This window comes from Homo sapiens, chromosome 13, assembly GCF_000001405.40.
Source record: "Homo sapiens chromosome 13, GRCh38.p14 Primary Assembly".
NCBI classification, from domain to species: domain Eukaryota; kingdom Metazoa; phylum Chordata; class Mammalia; order Primates; family Hominidae; genus Homo; species Homo sapiens.
Genome location: NC_000013.11, coordinates 77,833,619 through 77,856,947, shown reverse-complemented (window position 1 = coordinate 77,856,947; position 23,329 = coordinate 77,833,619). Strand labels below are relative to the sequence as shown.

The 23,329-nt window shown below is 36.3% G+C and overlaps 1 long non-coding RNA gene across 1 annotated transcript in view, besides 3 other annotated features; it reads right to left on the bottom strand.

The window, feature by feature from the left end:
- Window positions 1–23,329, bottom strand: part of EDNRB-AS1 (EDNRB antisense RNA 1) — an 89,506-nt gene that overhangs the window by 51,495 nt on the left and 14,682 nt on the right. Inside the window, exon 6 of the long non-coding RNA NR_103853.1 lies at window positions 21,958–23,215. This is a non-coding gene — a long non-coding RNA (EDNRB antisense RNA 1). The remainder of the gene's footprint in view (window positions 1–21,957; window positions 23,216–23,329) is intronic.
- Window positions 2,557–3,066: an enhancer, noted in NCBI's record as "OCT4-NANOG hESC enhancer chr13:78428017-78428526 (GRCh37/hg19 assembly coordinates)". NCBI's record gives its function as "activates a minimal SCP1, AML or CMV promoter by ChIP-STARR-seq in naive and primed H9 embryonic stem cells {active_cell/tissue: H9 hESC(naive and primed)}" and the evidence as "EXISTENCE:reporter gene assay evidence [ECO:0000049][PMID:30033119]".
- Window positions 3,067–3,576: an enhancer, noted in NCBI's record as "OCT4-NANOG hESC enhancer chr13:78427507-78428016 (GRCh37/hg19 assembly coordinates)". NCBI's record gives its function as "activates a minimal SCP1, AML or CMV promoter by ChIP-STARR-seq in naive and primed H9 embryonic stem cells {active_cell/tissue: H9 hESC(naive and primed)}" and the evidence as "EXISTENCE:reporter gene assay evidence [ECO:0000049][PMID:30033119]".
- Window positions 4,784–5,416: an enhancer, noted in NCBI's record as "H3K27ac-H3K4me1 hESC enhancer chr13:78425667-78426299 (GRCh37/hg19 assembly coordinates)". NCBI's record gives its function as "activates a minimal SCP1, AML or CMV promoter by ChIP-STARR-seq in naive H9 embryonic stem cells {active_cell/tissue: H9 hESC(naive)}" and the evidence as "EXISTENCE:reporter gene assay evidence [ECO:0000049][PMID:30033119]".

The following is a 23,329-nucleotide window of genomic DNA, read 5'->3' as shown; positions in this document are numbered from 1 at the left end:
ACTTAAAATAAAAGATAAATTTTTAAAAAACGATTCACAATGCAGAGGTAGGCACAGATCCTGTGGCTGTGCATAAGAACCACCCCCCACCCCACCACCACCCCTGAACATCACACTGGGGTTGATGGGGACAGGAGACATTATCCTCCTCAAAGAACATCTGCCCTGAACTATCAATCCCACTTTTAAAAATCTATTTTGGAACTTTAATCTAGCTTTGAAAATATTAAATTGATATTAATATGAATATGAGTCAAGTATGATCATAAAACTTGCAGGATACAGTAGCGGTTCTTCATGTTTGTTTCATGCCCCAAAACACATGAATGATGACTTCTTGTATTTCATTCTTTCATCAATTCATGTGTATTGACCACTTACTATGTTAAGTAAACCTATTCTGGAAACCCTTTTTGACACTCTCCTGTGATTTTGAGGATGTTCCTGAAAATATTGAAGAATAAAGCTAACAGACCTGCAGATTTCTTTTTTAAATATGATATTCACAAAGCAATATTGCTCTTTAAAGGATCCAAACATAGGTAAAACCAATGGAATTATTTTGAAGCTCTAGTTCTTTCTCCCCATTCAGAAAAAGAAGGAAAGCAAGTGACTGACATCACATTCATAATTCTTTAATTTAAATAATTTCCAAACATGTGTATTCAATTTTTATTAGCAACATATCACTTAACACTTTTTCCTGCTGCTCTCAATTCCAAGAATGATTAGCTGTTAGGTCAGAAGGTGAGGTTGACAGTTTATTAGACTGAGAGGAAGGAGGGCAAGAATCTGTCTAGTCCCTATGACCAGTAGCAGGCTGAGCCTTAAGTGTTCCTAAGAACTAAGCCATACTCACTACTCACAGGCAACCTGGGAGGCAGGGAGAGTCCCATTGAAAAGAAAAGAAATGAGGGTCAGGCATGGTGGCTCACAACTGTAATCCCAGCACTTTGGGAGTCCAAGGCAGAAGATCACTTGAGTCCAACAATTCAAGAGCAGTTCGGGCAATATAGCGAGACTCTGTCTCTACAAAAACTAAAAAAAAAAAAAAAAAAAAAAAATTAGCTGGGCACTGTGGTGCGTATCTGTACTCCCAGCTATTATGGAGGCTTGGGCAAGAGGATTGCTTGAGCCCAGGAGGCCCAGTCTGCACTGAGCTATGATCATGCACTGCACTCCAGCCCTGGCAACAGAAGGAGACCCCACTCAAAGAAAAATAAAGAAAGAAAGGAAGTGGGAAAGCCAGAAAGGAATAGAATAAATGAAATAGGGAAAATAAGAATATTCGTTGCTTTGTGAATATCATATTTTAAAAAGAAGTCTGCAGGTCTATTAGCTTTACTTTTCAATTTTTTTCAGGAAAATCCTCCAAATCGCAAGATACCATCAAATAGAGGTAGGAGAATAAAAGAGAAGGAGAGAAATGAAAGGAGACAAAGAAAGAGATGCAGATTATTTGAACATTTCCAGGAACTCCATGGTTCTGGAGTTTTCCATTCTCCACTATCCCCCACCTTTTCCCTCCACTGCTAATGCATTTTGTAACCAAAGGCAAGAGGTAATAAATGCTACCTCTCCCCTCCAAATTCTTGCAGATAGTGTGAGAATAAACAAGGTAATAGATATCTAAGTGCACTGAATCCCTTGCCTGAGGTAAATCTAAAGCCTTTCTCCCCATCACCCTTCCTTTTCAATTTATTTAGAAGAGGGATAAAACTACTTATCGTCTTTGATTTTGGGGAGTGAGTGCTATCTGATATGGTGATTCCTATTTTTGAGCCCAGCAACTATCATGAATAATCCGGTTAGTGTGGTTTTTTAGAGCAATGCTTGGCGGTCATAAAGCAAATGCATTAAGTCAGAACAATAGGTACATTGATCCCCTGAATATATTAGTTTTAGATTCAGTATTCTAGATGGTGTTGGGGCTCAGAAAATGATACCCCAAAACAAAGGCCTCAGAAACAAAAGTCTCTCTCTGACCTCCTGCCCTCTTGTCCCTTGCCCCTTATTCTCCCTCAAGGCAAGCCATAGAAATTAGAATCCCTTTTCCCCAAGGTGGGAAATATTTTAGGCCATAAGGCCTAAAAATATTACTCACTTCCCCTCCTCCCCTACCCACCACCTTTGTATGTAATAGCTGGCCATAAAGAAGTTGAGACCCTCCTTCCAGAGGAGTCCTACTCCATAGATGGAATCTCCACAGAGAGTCCAAGATGAGTCTGAACAGAGACTTTGCCCAATTTCCCCCTTCAGTCTATAAGCATTAGATCATACCACTTGCCCAATCGTGTCTCTACACAACTGTCCATTCTTCATTGAACCTAGGCATAAAAATGAATAATTTCCCCTGTATCTTTGAGTCTTCAAAGGTTCCATGTTACCTAAAACTACAATCAAATATCAAATTTCAAAAATCAAATTTCTTATGCTCTTCTCTTGTTAACATGTCTTTGTTATTAGAGTGTCTGCCTTGATTCTTATGATAGGGAGGAAAGAGATCACCCACTTTCCAGTCCTACAATGAGGAGGAAATAGCGGGATATTTACTGTATTGAGCTTGAAAAAAAGTGATTGAAAATGAACCTTCAACTGGCAAGAGAAAGAGAGATTCTATCTGGCTTTCTTTTACAATGTTCCAATATCATTTTGAGATTATAACAAGACATGTTTGTCATCGTGACTTTATTAGCCTTCCAAAAGAAGTTCAAGATTAACCAGAAAATACATTACTTAAAATAAGACATTAATAATATATTCTACAAAGAAACAGATGCAAAATATGCTAATAAATCTGGCCAAAACTAATTATCAAAACTGAGTCACAAGATGTGTACCACACATACATTTGCATTTGTGCCTGAGCACTGCAGCCCGAAAGGCTCATCCCATGGCTCTACTGGCAGATGTAACTGAAGAACTGGAAATGTTGAGTCTTGTCATGACAATGCTTCTTTCTGTTAAACGGTTTAAAATGTTTGACAAATGCATTGCAAAGCTATGCAAGGAAATGCTTCCCTTCCAGGGATTAGATTCTTGAAGCAGACCATTGACACTGGTCTTTGTCAGTAATTCAGCCCACATTAGCAAAAGAAAAGCTTCTTACAGACAGACTAGGCTCTTAAGGATCCTCTAAAGGGAACACTGAGGGCTTTGTTTTTGCTTCTTCACACGCTGTTAATGAGGGTTTAACTGAGGGAAAGAGCAGAGCGTAGTTCTTTGTCCTCAGAGATTTGGCTTTCTTTTTCTTTCCTTCTTCTTTTAAATAACAATTATTTCCAATCTTTACCATGTTAAGACTGTAGTCTAATCAGATCACAAGGAGACTAATGACTTGATTTCTAATTAAATGGAAATAAATCATCTAAGAGAATGGTCTTTTTCTCAAGTGTGTACAGCTACCAAGAAGCCTTTGGTCAAATTACTGCCAGAAAAAAAACAAAAACAAAAACAAAAAAAACTCAAAGCTACAGAAATTGGGAATTTGGCTACAGATGAATATTTTTCCACATAATAGGACAATGCTACAGAATGAATTCTTAGACCAATTTTTCCTTTATTTGAGTATATTTATTACCATGAGGTAGCTTGACTCTTTCATTTGGTTTCCCATTTACTTTTATGAAGTCTTGTTTCTAATTAAAAACTAACCTTACCTCTCATTATTTGTTTACACTCTCAAATGTCTTCATTTTCTTATTTTATTCTTTATTTCACTTGCCAGAAACCATTGACTGCACAAAGTAAGTTGAATAACTCATCATGGTGCTCAAAAACTCTTCCCTCTTGAGAGGGACAAAGTTGCATCTAAGCCAAAAGTTGATTATGTGTCCTAACATATTTTTCCTCACATTCAAATATGGAAGCAGAGTAAAATAGCACAGTTTACTCTCTCTGAATCCCATGTCTTATTATTTCCCCTCATTCTAATATGAAGGCATATTATGTACTTAATATGATACAAGACGTGAAATGATTAAATACCCCCAACCTCCAAACCACGGGGATTTGGGGATGTTTAGTACAAGACCTCTTATCTGACACAATGACACAATCAGGATTTATATATGGTTATTAATTGTAAAAGTCATTTAGTGTAGGAAATATATATGTACATACACACAAACACATTGTATTTTAACTTACCATTGTTGAATAATCATTTTCCAGTCTTCTGACATAGAACAAGTCTTTTGAATTTTTGAATTTGGGTTTGTTGGTTGAACCTATTACCACCTACCTAGATTACCAAAGTAAATCTCTTTCTTTACACATTTAATCAGCTTGAATATTTAATTGTTACCTGCAGTGGGCCATTCTTGCACTGCTACAAAGAAATACCTGAGACTGAGTAATTTATAAAGAAAAGAGTGGCCAGGCATGGTGGCTCACGCCTGTAATCCCAGCACTTTGGGAGGCAGAGGCGGGCGGATCACAAGGTCAGGAGATCGAGACCATCCTGGCTAACACGGTGAAAGCCCGTCTCTACTAAAAATACAAAAAATTAGCCGGGCTTTGTGGTGGGCGCCTACAGTCCCAGCTACTTGGGAGGCTGAGGCAGGAGAATGGCATGAACCTGGGAGGCGGAGCTTGCAGTGAGCCGAGATGTCGCCACTGCACTCCAGCCTGGGCGACAAACAGAGCGAGACTCCGTCTCAAAAAACAAACAAACAAACAAACAAACAAACAAAATTAGCTGGGCGTGGTGGCGGGCACCTGTAGTCCCAGCTACTCGGGAGGCTGAGGCAGGAGAATGGCGTAAACCTTGGGGGTGGAGCTTGCAGTGAGCCGAGATCGCGCCACTGCACTCCAGCCTGGGAGACAGAGCAAGACTCCGTTTCAAAAAAAAAAAAAAAAAAAAAAAAAACAGAAAAGAGGTTTAGTTGGCTTAGTTCTGCAGGCTTTACAGGAAGCATGGTGCTGACATCCACTTGGCCTCCAGGGAGCCTCAGGAAGCTTACAATCATGGCAGAAGGCAAAGGAGGAGCAGGCAAGTCACATGGTGAAAACAGAAGTAAGTTACATAGAGTGGGGTGGGGAGGTGCCACAGTCTTTTAAATGACCAGATCTCATGAGAAATCACTGTCATGAAGACAGCACCAAGCCATGAGGAATCTGCCTCCATGATCCAAACACCTACCACCAGGCCCCACCTCCAGCATTAGGGTTTACAATTCAGCATGAGATTTGGGTGGGGACAACTATCCAAACTACATTATTATCGAATTATAATAACAAGTACATCTGGAATAAACAGTTTAAGCAACTTGCACAACTTACTCTTGCTAGCTTGTAATTCAACTGGTGAGAACAGAAATATGTGAGTATACCAGAGATAGCCTATTCACTCAGGTGCTGAAGATGCCATGAGTACTAGTCAGCATGTTTGCAAAGGTAATGGAGAGTGCAGCTAAACTACAAAGTCATATAAGTGGAAATCAGTTAAGCAGTTATGACATTTTTAATATATTACACAAAACATTGGGGTTAAAACTGCTAATAGAAAGGTTTTTGGTGTTTTGTTTTGTTTTGTTTTGGAGAAGAATGCTTAAAATTCCCTTCTGCTTCTACCATATGCAGAAGAATCTTCACTGAGAAATAGGTAAGAACAGATAACTACAGAGCAAAGACATTTGGGTTTGAGGGGGGCACAGGGCATTACATCAGTGAGCAGTCATTCCTGGTACTCAAAAATCTTCCAACTAAAATGATTTAGAATATGCTGGATATAAGTAATCATTCACAGGAACCAATTATTAAATATTCTACTTACTTAGAAGGGATTTTGCACAATTATGATTCCAAAGCATAAAAATAAGCAGCAACATATATTTAAAAAAAAAAAAAAGAAAGAAAACTCTACAACATGACCAACTAGATTTATCCCAGGTATGCAAGCCTTAAAATCTGAAAGTCAATTAATATACACAATTTTAATAGTATAAAGGAAAAAACCACATGATTCTCTTCTCAATAGATATAAGCAGCATGTAACAAATTTCAGTATCTATTCATGATAAAATCTCTCAACAAGCTAGAAGAAAATAGAAAGGAACTTGATAAAGGGCATCTGCCAAATACTTACAGTTATCATCAAACTTACTGGTAGAAGATAAAAGCTTTCCCCCTAAGATTGGAAATAAAGCTAAGATGTTCCCTCACCATTTCTATTCAACATTGTACTGGTGGCTCTAACTACAGCAATGAGGCAAGAAGAAAACCTTAAAGGTGTATATACTAGAAAAATAAATAATCTGTCTTTATTTGAGGATGACATCATCCTTTACATACAAAATTCTAATACATTTATATTTTTTAAAAAAACTACTGGTTTATATTTATAAACAAGTTTAGGAAAATCACAAGCTACAATGTCAACATACAAAAATCACTTGCATTCTTTAAACATTAGCAACAAGCAATCCAGAAATAAAATTAAGAAAATAGCTTCATTGGCAGGAGAATCAAAAAGAATAAACTAGGAATAAATCTAAAAGGTATTAGAGTTGTATACTAAACTACAAAACATTACTGAAATGAATTTTAAAATATCCAATCAAAAAGACATTTCATGTTCAATGATGGAATAACTCAATATTGTTTAAATGACATTTTTTCCCAAATTAATATATAAGTTCAAGGTAATCCTGATCAAAATTTCAGCAGAATTTTTTATAAGTTGTTAAACTGATCAAAAATACATATGACAATGCAAAGGAACAAAATAGCCAAAACAACTTTGAAAATTGGAGAAAATTAGAATTACCTAATTTCAAAACTTGCTAGAATGCTACTGTAATAAGGCAGGATTGTATTGGTATAAGGAAAGACATATAAATCAAGGGAATAAAATACAAAGTCCAGAAATAGGCCAGGCACGGTGGCTTATGCCTGTAATCCCAGCACTTTGGGAGGCCAAGGTGGGCAGATCATGAGGTCAGGAGATCAAGACCATCCTGGCTAACATGGTGAATCCCCATCTCTACTAAAAATACAAAAAAATTAGCCAGGCATGGTGGTAGGCACCTATAGTCTCAGCTACTCAGGAGGCTGAGGTGGAGAATGGCATGAACCTGGGAGGCAGAGCTTGCAGTGAGCCAAGATCACACCACTGCACTCCAGCCTGGGTGACAGAGTAAGACTCTGTCTCAAAAAAAAAAAAAAAAAAAAGAAAGTCCAGAAATAAACATTTATATTTATGGTCAACTTATTTTCAACAAAGATGTCAAAGCAGCTCAATGGGAGGAAGGATAGTATTTTCCAGAAATGTTGCTGAGACAACAGACTGTCCATAAGTTAAAAAAAAAAAAAGAAAGAAAAAGAGAAAAAGCATTTAGATCCTTACCTCACACCATACACAAAAATTAACTCAGACTATAGATCTAAATGTAAGAACTAAAACTATATAGCCTCTAGAAAAATAGAGAAACTTTTTTTTTCTTTTGAGACAGAGTCTCACTCTGCCACCCAGGCTGGAGTCCAGTGGCGCGATCTCAGCTCACTGCAACCTCCACCTCCCATATTAAAGCAATTCTCCTGCCTCAGCCTCCCAAGTAGCTGGGATTACAGGCACACACCACCACACCTGGCTTATTTTTGTATTTTTAATCGAGACGGGGTTTCACCATGTTGGCCAGGCTGGTCGTGAATTCCTGACCTCGTGATCCACCCACCTCAGCCTCCCAAAGTGCTGGGATTACAGGCACGAGCCACCGCACCCAGCCAAAATTTTCTAAAGGAAAATTCTTTGTGACTTTAGACAAAAACTTCTTAGATGTGACAACAAAAGTACAATCCATTAAAAAGCTGATTAATTTAATTTCATCTAAATTAAAATATTTTGCTCATCAAACCATATAAATAAAAAGACAAGCCACACACTGGGAGAAAATATTTACAAACCATGCATTTCACAATGGACTTGTATCCAAAATATATAAAGATCACTTATAACTTAACAAAAACAAAGGCAAATTTAAAAATGGGCAACCTTTGTGAATTGATGTTTTACAAAAAAAAGAAAAAAGGCATATGGTTAATAAGCATGTGAAAAAAATAGTGAACATCATTAATCTTTAAAGAAATTTAAGTTAAAACTACAATGCAATACCATTTTACACAAGATGGCTATAATTAAAAAGACTGACAATAGTAAGTGGTGGTGAGGATGTGGAGAAATTGCAGCCCTTATACATTGCTGATGGGAACATAAAATGATGCACCACTTTGGAAAATAATTTGGCAGTTTCTTAAAAAGTTAAACATAAACTTACCATTCAACCTAGCAATTCCCGAGGAACACATATGTCTATGTAAAATTTGTAATCATTTATAGCAGCCTTATTTATAATATTTCCAAATGGGAAATAACCCAAATGTGCAAATGTCAACTAGTGAATAGAATTTCAAAATGCAGTATGTAATACAATGTAATAAAAAGGGACTACTTATTGATACATTTTATAACAATGTTGAACTTCAAAAATATTAAGCCAAGTAAAAGGAGCCAGAAACAAAAGACCACATATTGTTTGATTCAAGTTATATGCATTTTTGAGAAAAATGCAAATCTGTAAAGACATAAAGCAGATCAGAGTTTGTCTGGGACTGAGAATGGAAGTGGAAATTAACTGCAAACAAGCAAAATGAACATATTCTAATACTAAATTATGGTGATTATTTAATTTATTTATTTATTTATTTATTTATTTATTTATTTATTTATTTATTTATTTTTTGGGATGGAGTCTCGCTCAGTCACCAGGCTAGAGTGCAATGGCGTGATCTCGGCTCACTGCAAGCTCTGCCTCCAGGGTTCATGCCATTCTCCTGCCTCAGCCTCCCTAGTAGCTGGGACTACAGGTGCCCACCACCACGCCTGGCTAAATTTTTTTGTATTTTTAGTAGAGACGGGCTTTCACCATGTTAGCCAGGATGGTCTCGATTTCCTGACCTCATGATCCGCCCATCTCCGCCTCCCAAAGTGCTGGGATTACAGGCGTGAGCCACCACGCCCAGCCTGGTGATTATTGACAACTCTTTAAATTTATGAAAAATTATTGAATTGTACACCTACAATGGAAAAATTTTATGGCATAAATTATACTTCAATAAAACTGTTTAGTTTTTAAAAACCGACATTTACTGAGCACTTACTAAGTGCCAGGCACTTTCTTAATCATTCTGCATAAATTATCTCATATAATCTTCCTCAAAATACTATGAATGATGTTCATTCTGATATAGAGCCAAGGCCTTTTGAATTTTTGAATTTAGATTTCCTAATGAGACCCATTGTTTGCACAACTCCCATAAAAGTGTATCTATAATTTGAAGGTTATTTTCCTCAAATTTCTTTACCAAAACATTATGAACGGTGTTCACTCATAATTTTAGGGGGAAGATTAAATAAGATCATTTATTAATACCTCCATTTTATGGACAAAATCCCACTTTATAGAAGATTAAATAATCCTATTCTATGGAATTAAGTAATCTCATTTTAAAATCCCATTTTATGAAAGATTTTTAAATCCCATTTTTGAAAGATTAAGATAATTTATTAATATCTCTATTTTGTGAATAAATAAATTGAATCTGATAAACGTTAAATGATTTGCCCAACAGCATGTGACAAATAACTAGGGAGCCAGGACCCTGGCAACCTGACTTCAAATTTTCGGTTCTAAAGCAATGCCCAGATTGTGTCCCAGTAAAATAGCCATCCTGATAGCTCCATCAGAATTGTTTGGATTAATGAGATTTGAAGCATTTTCTAAATTTTCCTGTATTCATAATAACATAGTGTTTTCAACACCTGATACTTTTAAGCCTATATGAAATTGCTGATCTTGAGCCATTTGTGATCTCAAAAGTGGTAATTTCACAATTCAATCCAAAATAACTTTATTAAATTAAAGTTCCTGAAACTAGAGCCCATAGTCAGATATGTGCTATTCTAGATTCTAAAGCTTTCCCATAAACAAATTCAGGCATTATCTCTCTGTTGGTAACAATTCATAAAGCCTTCAGGGTTTTAAACAATAACTGCAAATGATCAGTCTATTCGAATCTATTACCTTCACTATTGCTACCTGCGTGAACTGCTATTTTTCACGTATTGGCAAGTTTCTCTTTTCAGATATCTTCACTAGTATTTCTGAAGACATCTGCTTTGCCTTTCATCCTTTTTAACAGAAGCAGATGAGTAATTACCAACTAGATGGTAATAAAGACCATGGTAGTCCCTCTTATCCACAGAGGACACATTCCAAGACCCCAGTGGGTGACTGAAACGTTGGAGAGTACCAAACCCTATATAAATATACTATGTTTTTTTCCTATACATACATAAATACTTATGATAAAGTTTAATTTATAAACTAGGCACTGTAAGAGATTCACAACAGTAACATAATAAAATAGAACAGTTACATCAATACTCAGAATGGCACATAATTTAAAACTTATGAATTGTTTATTTTTAAAATTTCATCTAATATTTTCAGACTGCAGTTGACAATGGGTAACTAAAACCACAGAAAGTGAAACTGCAGATAAGGGGAAGCTACTGCACAACATGAAGAGTCTTCACTTCTGATGACTTTAGATGGCATATTTGATCACCATTGTTTCTTGAAAACATTGAATGTTACTTTCTTTATAGCATAGAGCTATACATTTATTCTCTTAGTTCTGGACTTGTTTTTGTGAACTTCTGGACCCACCGTAAGTAAACAAGCCTTCTATTTTGCTATGCTTCTCCACAGATATACAGAGAAGTATTGTCCTGTATTCTATTATTAATAAACAGTTCAATCTCCTTCCCTAAATAAACAAAAAAGAAGGTGAGTTTTTCTCTCAAATACCCTCACGTTTTTGGAACAAGCTTTTCAAACTTTTCATTTTATATTCCCGTGACACTGAAAAACCATCTGAGTATATACAAAATAAAAAGACCACCTTAAAAATATGCTAGCTTTTTTCTTCTAGTTGTAAATGTTCTGTTATTTGTTCACTCCAGGATTATGCAATATAAAGGAAGATTAAATATCATTGTCTAAACTGGACCAGCACCCTGTTAGCACCACTACTCACTGAGAGCTTAAGATGTAGACTCTGAAAGAAGGTCTAGTTTTAGATTGCCTCTCTGAGCAACTCTCAAATTCACCCTCTATTTGCCCTATGGAACAGCTGGTTTTATCTTGTGGAATTTTTCTCTGGCCTAGCCTACCTTTTCCTCCCTGCTGTTCTAAGATTGGAGGCTTTCTCTAAATCTGTGCTGTGCAATACCATAGCCACCAACCACCTGAAGCTACTGAGCACTCATAATGTGGTTGATCCCGGTTGATCCATGCTGTATGTGTACAATGTTCACGCCATTTCAAATATTAGTAGAAAAAATGTAAAATATTCCGTTCATAATTTATATAAGGATAACTTTTTGAAAATATTTGGGATAGGTTGGGTTAAATGAAATATATTATTAGAATAATTTAACCTTTTTTATCTTGTTTGTCTACTAGAAAGTTGTTCAAAATTACACATGTACTTTTGTATGATGTACTTTTTATTATATTTCTATTGAACAGCACTGCACTATACTGTCTGTTCATTTTCACGTCTCCCTCTCCCCTTGCTCTGCAGTGGTGGGGAGGTTCCTAATATGCCCTTGTCCAGTCCCTGCTCCCAACATCCCAGGCTGAGCCAGCCCTACTGCACTCATCCAGAAGAAAATTTTGGCAATATTTGTAAAAATATTAAGTGATTTTTTTATATTTAAGGAAAAAATACAGAACTTCTCAAAATAATTCTAGAGTTCATCTGAGGGGCAGGAATACCTAAGGATAATTTGTAAAAGAAGAGTAATGAAGAAGAACCTCTTAGAAATTCATAAGTTTTTGACAAGCTTAAAAATTATAATAAATGGAAATTATTTAGGGCAATGTCTGGTGCATAGTAAGCAAGCACTCAATATGTGATAGCTATTACTATTGTCACTTCTTATCAAAGTATATACAAATAAAACAATTAAAACCTTATAGAATGGGAAAGAAGGATACATTTGTAGATGGTTGGTATAGATCTATGAACAACCATTTTTACGTATATAAAATATTTAATATATTGTGTTTTAGATCTTATTATAGATCAATAGGTGAGAGAAGAGATTAATCAATAATTAGTTTTCAGAATGGCTAATTATTTTGGAGAAAATGAATCCCACATTGATGACAGATGAAATTTTTTAAATATTTATTTTAAGAAAGGTAAAATATAGGTGAATATCTGATATTTATCATAGAAGGATATTCTAAGCTTAATAGTAATTGGGGGGGAAAGGAAGACTAATATATTTAGTAGCATTAAAATATAAATCTTTGTTATATAAAAAAGTAACCAAAAGCTAAAGCAAACTATAAAACAAAGGGAAAAAAATAACACAAATATTATAAAAAGTTAATTGTATTTTAAAAACGTATATACATCAATAAGAAGTGCATTAGCAATCAAATGATAGAAAAATAGACACAAGATAAACATGAGAGGAAATTTTGAACTCTACTAGTACAAATGATCAAAATATTTTAAACTATTAATAATCAGTGCTAGAAATGGTGCAATGAAACAGTGTGTTTGGACAGTACAGATGGGATTCCAGGGGCTACAACCTTCCTAAAAACAATTTGGCAATATATATCAAAAGCTTTCCACCCGTTGATTTTAAGATTCTGTCTTAAAAAAATTATCTAAATTTACCTTACTAGCGGAAAAGTTAAATAAAGTTTTAATATAGCTATATGATGAAATATTACATGGTCATTAAAAGTAATGTGCATGAAGGGCACTTAAAACATAAAGATGGCTTATAATGTTATAATATAATAATATTAGAATAAAATAGCAGGCTCCACCTTGTCTTCTGTAACAATCATTAACATACCAAAATTTTTCTGTGTTATTTGACACATCACAAGTGAGAGAAGCCCAATTGAAATGGAACATGCTACCAAGAGAATTTCATGGAGGTGTCAAGTAGCCAAATGAAGGACAGAGTACAGCTTGGTCAAAGAAGTGGCTAGAACCAGAGACCAAATGGTATCAGAACATCCTGGCCCCACTCTCTGTAATTCTGAAGTCGTGTTCAGATTGACTTGTTTTACACTGCAGGGAATATGGTCATCTTGTGTCCTGGGGTCTAATAACTCACAGCTTTGCCTGCAGGAACTGACTCAAGTTAACATTCTAAGAAAAACAACTCACTGGTCTACTTTGGGTTAGCTATTTCCACCCATGGACAAATCACTGTGGCCAAGAAGGCAGGTTTCTGTGATTGACAGATACAACTTGAAACACATAATTGACAAAGCAAGATAGCTGTTCTGCAAAGGAATAGAGGCACTGGGCAGGGAGGTTAGTAGGTGTTCGTAGCAATTTAAATCTTCATTAAACAGAAAAATTTCAGAAATCTCTGATAGTCCTCAATAAAACAAAAGCAACACATAAAAATGGAAACATACCACTATGTTTTAAACTCTATTAAAATACAAGTCCAATGGTGAAAACACAAGTCCAAGGGTGAAAATCATAACAAAATGGCTACTCCTTAAAGAAGTAAACATTTCATTTAGTCTCCACAACTCCTTGGGGTGATACTACTCTTTTTTTTTTTAAGATGGAGTTTAGCTGTGTCATCAGGCTGGAGTGCAGTGGTGCCATCTCAGCTCACTGCAACCTCCACCTCCCGGGTTCAAGCGATTCTCCTGCCTCAGCCTCCTAAGTAGCTGGGATTACAGGCACATGCCACCATGTCCGGCTAATTTTTTTTTGTATTTTTCATAGAGACAGGGTTTCACCATGTTGGCCAGGATGGTCTCCATCTCCTGACCTTGTGATCTGCCCGCCTCGGCCTCCCAAAGTGCTGGATTACAGGTGTGAGCCATCGCGCCTGGCCTATTTTTAATTTACAGATAAACAAACTGAGTCATAGTTTACTAAGTTACTTGGTTACTAGTTGGTATTCCAGAGAAGATGAGTACTTAGGAAGTTTGATTCCAATGCCTGTAGTTCAAACATGTAATATAAATACAACAAGAATTAATCAAGATAGACATTCAAAGATTTGCAGGAGAAGAGAAAGGACTTTTGGTAAGCATGCACAGGAACCCAGCTCTATTCCAGGTGTTTTCCATTCATTGGATCCTCTAATACTAATAATAAAGACTCCATGAAGAAGACGTTATTACTTCCATTTTACAGACAAGCAAATGGAGGCTTAGAGAGGTTGAATGACTAATAAAGTGTATTAGTCCATTCTCAAGCTGCTATAAAAACACTCCCCAAGAACTAGGTAATTTATAAAAGAAAGAAGTTCAGTTGAGTCACATTTGCATACGGCTGTGGAGGCCTCAGGAAGCTTAGAATCACGGCAGAAGGCGAAGGGGGAACAAGGACCTTCTTCACATGCTGCAAGAGAGAGAAGTGTGAGCGCAGGAAAAAGTACCATTTATAAAACCATGAGATCTCATGAGAATTCACTTACTATCACGAGAACAGCATGAGGGAAACCACCCCCATAATCCAATCACTTCCCTCCCTTGACATGTGGGGATTACACTTCTAGGTCAGATTTGGGTGCGGACACAGAGCAAAACCATATCATGAAGTGTAGTGATAGAATAAATTCTGAATCAGCTCTGTCTAGCTCCCAGCTTATTAGAGTGAACTTTGAAGTACTATTGCCAAAGAACTCTTTCCCTAAAGGGTGGGGGCATGTGTGGGGGGAGGGGTAGTTAGGACTGCAAATAAGAGGTGAGCATGAAGCAGGCACCTTATCTCTTTATCTCTGATTTAGCTGAATCTTAAATAGCAGAATGTATTTTATGATAAAAGAAGATGAAAAGAAGTAAGTCACTTCTAATGTTTGCATCTGATAAAGGGTAACTTCCAAATATATAAGGAACTCCTTCCTGCAAGTCGATAGCAAAACAACTAATAACCTTATATAAAAAATGGGCTAACGACTTACACATTTCTCCAAAGAGGACATGCAAATGGTCAAAACGTATATGAAAGGATACTCAATGTGACTAATCATCAGGGAAATACAAATCAGAAACTCAATGAGATATTACCTCACACCTGTTATGATGGCTATCATAAAAAAAAAATAAAAAGCAAGTATTAGTGAGAATGGGGAGAAATTGGAATTCTTGTGGTGAGGATGCAAAATGATGTAGCTGCTATGGAAAACAGTATGCAGCTTCCTCAAAAAAATGCAAAATAGAACTACCATATGATCCAGCAATCCCACTTCTTTTTTTATTTTATTTTATTTTATTTTTTATTATACTTTAAGTTCTGGGGTACATGTGCAGAATGTGCAGGTTTGTTACATAGGTATACACGTGCCATGGTGGTTTGCTGCACCCATCAGCCCGTCACCTACATTAGGTATTTCTCCTAATGCTATCCCTCCCCTAGCCCCCCATCCCCTGACAGGCCCTGGTGTGTGATGTTCCCTTCCCTATGCCCACGTGTTCTCACTGTTCGTCTCCCACTTATGAGTGAGAACATGCAGTGTTTGGTTTCCTGTTCTTGTGATAGTTTGCTGAGAATGATGGTTTCCAGCTTCATCCATGTCCCTGAAAAGGACATGAACTCATCCTTTTTTATGGCTGCATAGTATTCCATGGTGTATATGTGTCACATTTTCTTTATCCAGTCTATTATTGATGGACTTTTGGGTTGGTTCCAAGTCTTTGCTATTGTGAATAGTGCCACAGTACACATATGTGTGCTTGCGTCTTTATAGTAGAATGATTTATAATCCTTTGGGTATATACCCAGTAGTGGGATCAGCAATCCCTCTTCTATACATGTCCAAAAGAATTAAAATCAAGATTTTAAAGTAACACTTGCATTCCATGTTTATTGCAGCACTATTCACAATACCTGAAATGTGGAAACAACCTACATGTCCACCAGTACATGAATGGATTTTAAAATGCAGTATAAACATACAATGAATTATTATTCGACTTTTAAAAAGAAGGAAATCCTGCAATATGTGACGACATAGTTAAACCTTGAGGACATTATGCTAAGTGAAATAAGCCAGGCACAGAAGGACAAATACTGCATGCTTTCACTTATATGGGGTATCTAAAGTAGTCAAACCCTTACAAGCAAAGAATAGAAGGGTGGTTGAAAGAAGCTGGAGCAATGGGAAAATGGGAAATAGTTAATCAACAAGTACAAAATTTCACCTATATAAGATTGATGAGTCCTAGAGATCTGCTGTACAACATTGTGCCTATAGATAATAATACCATATTATACACCTAATATCTTACCACAATAAAATAAAAGTCAGAAGTCAAATTAATATTGTCTTTCTAAACAGATCAGAGTAGAGCAACCCAAGCCAAACTGCGTAGTGCTGGTCAATAGCCAGTAGGTTAGTCTGTTCTCACACTGCTAATAAAGACATATCTGAGACCGGGTAATTTATAAAGGAAAGAGGTTTAATGGACTCACACTTCCACATGGCTGGGGAGGCCTCACAATCATGGCAGGAGAGCAAGGGACATCTTACATGGCGTCAGGCAAGAGAGAGTTTCTGCAGGGGAACTCCCCTTTATAAAACCATCAGATCTCATGAGACTTATTCACTATCATGAGAACAGCATGGGAAAAACCTGCCCCCATGTTCCAATTACCTCACACCAGTTCCCTCCCCACATGTGGGAATTGTGGGAGCTACAACTCAAGATGAGATTTGGGTGGGGACACAGCCAAACCATATCAGCCAGTAAAATTTCAAAAATAGGTGAAATGTGGTCCCCGCCTTCTTAGATCTCAAAATCAAGGAGCTAAGCAAAGAATAAGTGCAGTGTGATAAGTGTAATCTTAAAAGGTATGTATAATGTGATGGTAGCACATACACACATGTTTTGTGTATTAGGGTTAAAGGCAGGCACAGAAAGCTCCTAAAAGGATGAGAGAGGTAAGTTCGGTACTCCACCAACAGAAGCATCCACACTGTATGAAAAAGTGTAGGGAAGGAGTGAACTGCTAGCCAGCTGGGGGCCTATGAATAGCAACTAAAGGGGCTTTAATAGGATGAGAAGGGATGTGAGGCCTTTTATTTCATGCAAAAAATTTTAAAGTTTTAAATTTATTCCGACAGTGATTTAAGTATGAAATTTTAAGCAGAAGATTAACACACCCAATCAAATTTACATTGACATTGCATATATGCCCTGAAAAATGTGATCATAAGAAAAAGTCATGGTAAGTTTTCTGCTTAGATTTGGTGATGAGAAGAAAGAAATTGATAATAACTGAACTTTACACAAGGGCACTTGCTTCTACTTGGTGTTTAAGTTTATTTGAATACTAACTACAGTGTTTCTATGTTTAAATATATACACAGACATCAGTGATAACTAATTAGTCAATTATTGTCCTTTGAAGATTTATTAAGAATCTTATTTTATTGGGTATCTTCTTTCTCAGTTGTCCACACATAGGATGATTATACAAGGCTGGTGCCTAATTGAAGGAAGCACACTAGTTCTATAGACAGACAAGTCTGAGTGGCTTCAGATGTCAAATCCTGAAACAAATTTTCAATCTGATATAATCAAACTGATGACTTTTAGTAGCAAAAATGAAAAGCTGAAAATGTCTGATTTTCCTCTTCCTTATGTCTCCATATAATAGGTGTTCACTAAATATTTATTAAATAAATAAATGAAACTCAATTCAGGTCTTCTCAAAGACTTATATTGAGAAATTTTAGGGCATTGGAAACTGTCACCGGCAGTATAAAGACTTATAAGACAAAGTTATGGTCCTATTTTTCAAACTATTATTAAACACAAACATCTATTGTAACGCTAATGTAATCAATGCAATAACAAGGTGCTGTGGAGCATAGAGTTTGGCTGCCTAGCCTGGAGCATGAAGAGATCAGAAAAGTTTCCTGGAGAAATTGAGGCATTGGCTGAGTCTTAAAAAGGGGTTGGCGGCTGCAGCATGAGGGTTTATGAGTGACCCTTATCCATTTTGCTCAATATACCAGGGACAAAGATTTATAATATAATTTTGCCTTGCAAAATGGTACACATTTCACCTGCCAGTGCCTGGAAATCATCTTATTCACTCCTAAGTCATCTCCATTCCATCTCTACCATACCACAACAATCACAGGGAGTTTTAATTAACCATAAAGAAATTGCTGAAGTGGATGAGATTTAGTATGAAAGTTAAACTCATATAAAACAAGCAAGGCCACTGGCCTGGAAAAGGCCTTTCTTCTGTGTGTACTCCTCCTCCACGTCTCCTACAGACAACAGAGTTCTTTGGATCAAAGAATCAAAGAATCCTGGAGCAACCAAGAAAAGAGTTCCTTTTGTTTTTGTTCAAAACAGTTCCGGTAAACCAGCCCCAGGCTGCAAATCTCCAAATCATAAATAATTGCTATGGTGTGCAGTGAAATGCTAGTGCCTAGGGCAGTCACTAATGTCAGAGTAAGGCAGGACTGACATCTGCAAAAGTGTAATAATAAACTTATCTAAGGATCCAAAATGTTTGTTGTGGATACCTTACTGAGAGAGGAGGATTAGCCTAGGGAAAAAGATAAGAGCTTTGGGATCAGACACAAATGAATAGAATGCTGCCTCTCCTGAAAATAATTATGTGGCCTTGAGCAAATCACTCAACCTCCTTGAATTTTAGGCTCTACATATGCAAAATGGGAATAATGAAATCTTTCTTGCAGAATTATTCTGAAATTCAGTGATTTTAAGCCTCTAACACAGGTAGCACAGAGTAGGCACTTAATCATTGGTATTGTTACTTTCATTTTCTCACCATCCTAACACCTAAGGAATTCTAATTGTTCAATACATGTTGTTTTAGAGAGGAAGGTAGCAGCCCCAAAATCTTCCCTGATCACTGTTATATACTTAGGCTCGCTGTACGAGGCCAAATCTATGCCTTCTTGCTAATTGGAAATCAATAAAACATCCAGCTAAATCAGATCTATTTATAGGACTGACAGCAATTCAGTTTACTAAAAGAACAAAAATTTCGTTTTTAAAAAAGAGAAAGAAAAAGACAATTGCAATTGCAATCAAAAGTTAGTTTTAGGCAGCTTGCAATGGCTCACACTTGTAATCCCTGCACTTTGGGAGGCCAAGGCCAGTGGATCACTTGAGACCAGGAGTTTGAGACCAACCTGGCAACATGGTGAAACCCAGTCTCTACTAAAAAATATAAACATTAGCTGGGTGTGGTGGCCTGTGCCTGTAGTCCCAGCTACTCGGGAGGCTGAGGCAGGAGAATCACTTGAACCCGGGAGGCAGAGGTTGCAGTGAGCTGAGATTGCACCACTGCAATCCAGCCTGGGCAACAGAGTGAGATCCTGTCTCAAAAAAAAAATTAATTTAAAATAATTTGTTTGGTTTTGTGTTTGCTTTTCATTTCACTGAATATAGAATTAATAAAGGTAAAGCATCTCCAAGGAAAAACATCATTAACAAGAAGACTAGACCTACATTAGATTACATATTAAAACAGAATTCAGGCTCTTTTATGGACAAGTAGCTTGAATATTTACTTTAGTCCATCTTTTGCCCATTAAATATTTCTATATTTCTAAAGTACTGTGTGCTAAGAAATATGTATTTATCTTTGGGTGATATTTTCTGTAATCTGATATATCACAGAGAATCTCTTTCCAATTCATTGACTATTTCCATGAACAGATATCAAAACTGTAAAATAGATGTTTGAGTTTTCTTTATTTCACATACAGAAAAATACTTTTTTTCCTTCCAATCAATTAGGAACAGTTTTGAAAAGAATAAAATGCACAATTTATATTATATTTATGACTATAAAACAAACAAAGAGTTTGTTTTATTTATCTATTTAATATTAATAGTAAACCAAGTTACATAACTTAGATGACAAATCTATGATAGGTCTAGATGAGTCAGTTGTCTATAGCAATGAAATTAAGTAGGTAATTGTCAGGATTCACCATCACTTTGTATATTGAATGTAATCTAAATGCTGTACTTTATAATTTAAACTTTCACTGTTAATATAAGATGCATGCCTTGTTCTTAAAGATAAAACATTGCAGCAAAAGTTTGCTTTGCAAACTGAAAGATTTAAAATGATTACTTTAACATTCTTCTTGTCCGTAGGAACATTTCACAATATTATGGGTTACGGCAGAGAGGGCTCAGCAGTTAGTTCTTCAGAGCTTCACTTCTCCTTCCTTATTGTGGAGTAATTGCTGGGAACTGGCTGCTCTATGAGAGATTACATTTCCTAATCCCCTCCTCCTTTCATCTACATATGGGCATATAGCTGACTTGTCCCAGTGGAACCGAAGCAGGAAAGATATATGTCACTTCCCTTTCAACATGGTTAAAAAGTGAGTATGCCTTTCTTACCCACACCAACTCCTTTTGCCTGTAAGATGTCAACACCCAAGGCAACCTGAGGAGCCAGGTGTTGAAGATGATAGACCACCCCACCAGCAATCTGGACCCTACATTGCACAGGGCAAAGCCCCCCCCTACTCCCCCACTAGGAACATCTGTATTAGAGTGTTAATAAACAAGAATAAATAGTTTATCTTGTTATGTGGCTAAAGTTTTGAGATTTGTATTTTACAGCAGCTAGTATTACTATAACTAATATGTGGAAGCTAAAAACATGTCACAGCAGCCAGCTGGGGCCTCAGACAGAGCTTCTTATTGTGTGGTGTCTTAGTAGATTCATCATAATATAGGTTTTAGCTCTCTATATCATGGGTCCAAAGTTGACTTTGCTCCGGTGACCTAAAACTTACATTAACCAAAATCACAGGAAATGAATTTGTAAACCTAAATGGCAATATGTTAATTTACCAAGACTTCTATACTTATCATGCTGTCTAGAGGACCCAGGACAACTATTCCTAGAGACATATTCACCGATCTTAGCTTTTGACCTTCTCCTTTTTCTCCTAGATTGTATATACAGCACAATCCTTATGTTAATATACTCATTTTAAATAGTCAAGTTATAGCACAAATGAGTAGATAAATAGTATACCATTATCTCCTTGCAAATATACCTCACTCAGTAGAGATTCTGAAATATTTTATTTTTGTACCATTTCTTAAGATGATTTACTTCACAAATGACTATATGAATTCACTTTAGGTAAATATTTGCTAATTTCCCACTAAAGGAGTGACCTTTTCCACCATACAGGGGCCACCTTGACTGTGACGAAGATAGATACATATGACCTAAGGGGTAGAAGAAAAGGAGTAGGAATGAAAAAAAAAAAAAAACAAGGTAGAACAATTAGGTATTAAAGGATAAAGAGCCCTGAAGAAAGATGCATACATCAAACTAAAAGGATATTTCCCATGATGTCAGCATCTAGATTTCTGGCCAAGACAAGTTAGGTTGTTGGATTATTTACAGAATCACTGCACTTATGTTTGTGATCCATAAACATTTTGCTATGTCATCCTGCATGCCTGAAGTAAATGAACTTCTAGAATGTACTTATGAAACACCTGCCTCCTAGGCTATCCTTCCCTCAGAGTCAAAACCTAGGTCAAAAGTGTCCTATCAAAAAGTAAAATTTCCTCTGCCGGGGATTAGAAGGACAGTTTTAAGTGGTCAGGTTTTTCAGGATATAAGAAAAAGAGAAACATTGAAGTAAAGAAAAATTGTTCTTAATATTAAATCTGTATGATTCCAAGAGAACAGAATGTATCTATTGCAAAGTTTGGAGTGTGCTTAAACTCAATTCAACATAAGAAGTATCTTACTACAAATCAAAGGTGGCAGACTGAAATATGTTTTAAATTTTATGTTTTTAGCAAAATTCTGTACAGGGACTCTCTTCTAGTCCACCATGATATGAAATACCTTGTTTACCGTTGTGTTGTCCTTCATTGTGTTTATCTGGTATACCAGATAAGATGTAAGCTCCCCAAGGCAAAAACTGCATTCTTCTTCCTTTATGCTTTCAACAGCCAAGGTTCTCCAGAATACAGTGTACAAGGAAGGTTAGCAAGACAGTCCATGAAAATGGAGAAATAATTATTAGAATTGTTATTAACAATCTCATTCTTCTGATTAACTATATTTTATAAAGCAACAGAATATCTTATTTGTAAAATATGTATTTAGAGACTACATGCACAAAACTTAATTAATAGGAGTGCATGACTAAAAATTATATAGACCACTACCTTACGGAAAATAGCATAAGAAATTTAAAACAATCATGAAAAGAATGTGCTGTCGGGGCAGTTGCCATGCTGATGGTGTGGCTGCAGAGAAAATGAAATGGATGCCCTGGCAATAGAATTCATTCTTTCATCAGCAATTATGCATTGGGTGCCTACCAAATGCCAAAGGCCTTTGCCACTGGAGAAGTGATTGGGTTGTTAGAAATAGAGTAAATAAAACAAATAGTAAAAATAGGTAAATCCATGACCATCCCCTCCCACACTTCAGGATTATCCTCCCTTTCCTTAATAGTGCTCTGATCCTTATCTTCAAGTAAGGATCCCTGAAAGAACCCAACCATTTCTGTGCAACTGAGAAACTACAAACTACACTATGATTATTTAGTGAATATGTATTAATATACTGAGCGTGAGATTGCCAATTGTGAAAAAAAAAGATGAATTAATTCAAATGATTCCAGTTTTGCTCAGGATCGTCAAGTACATATACTTTTCAAATACATGGACTAGGATCCCAAGAAACTAAATGTATATCCATATACATTTGTTGTGAGTGCCAAAAAATAATTTCTCACTATGCCCTAACAACCATCCTAACAGATACCTAATGAGCCCTGGATGCTAATCTCCTAAATAGATATAGACAAACAGCAAATTTGTTAACAAGATTAAAATTATAGTGATCCTTAAGTTTAATATACATGAGGGGAAATTCATAATTGGCAAGTTATAAACATAAGGCATCCATATGATTGGGAATAATGTGATGCAAAAAGGAAATATCTGATGCATGTTTGGTTTTTCTTTTCTATTTCTCCCCCTTTAAGAACATTCACATGCCTTGCTCAGTCACGTGATTTTCTGTCTTGCAGACATCTGGCTGAATACATCATGATGTTGTAATTCATGTTGTGTCTCTCAAGGCAATGTTTCTGTAAAATGCAATCCCTGTTTAAACAAAAATGACCTTCTCTCTCCCTAGTCAAATTAAGATCCAGAAAAATAGTTTGGAGTGTTATGGCTACCAGCATTTTCTATGTCTGTAA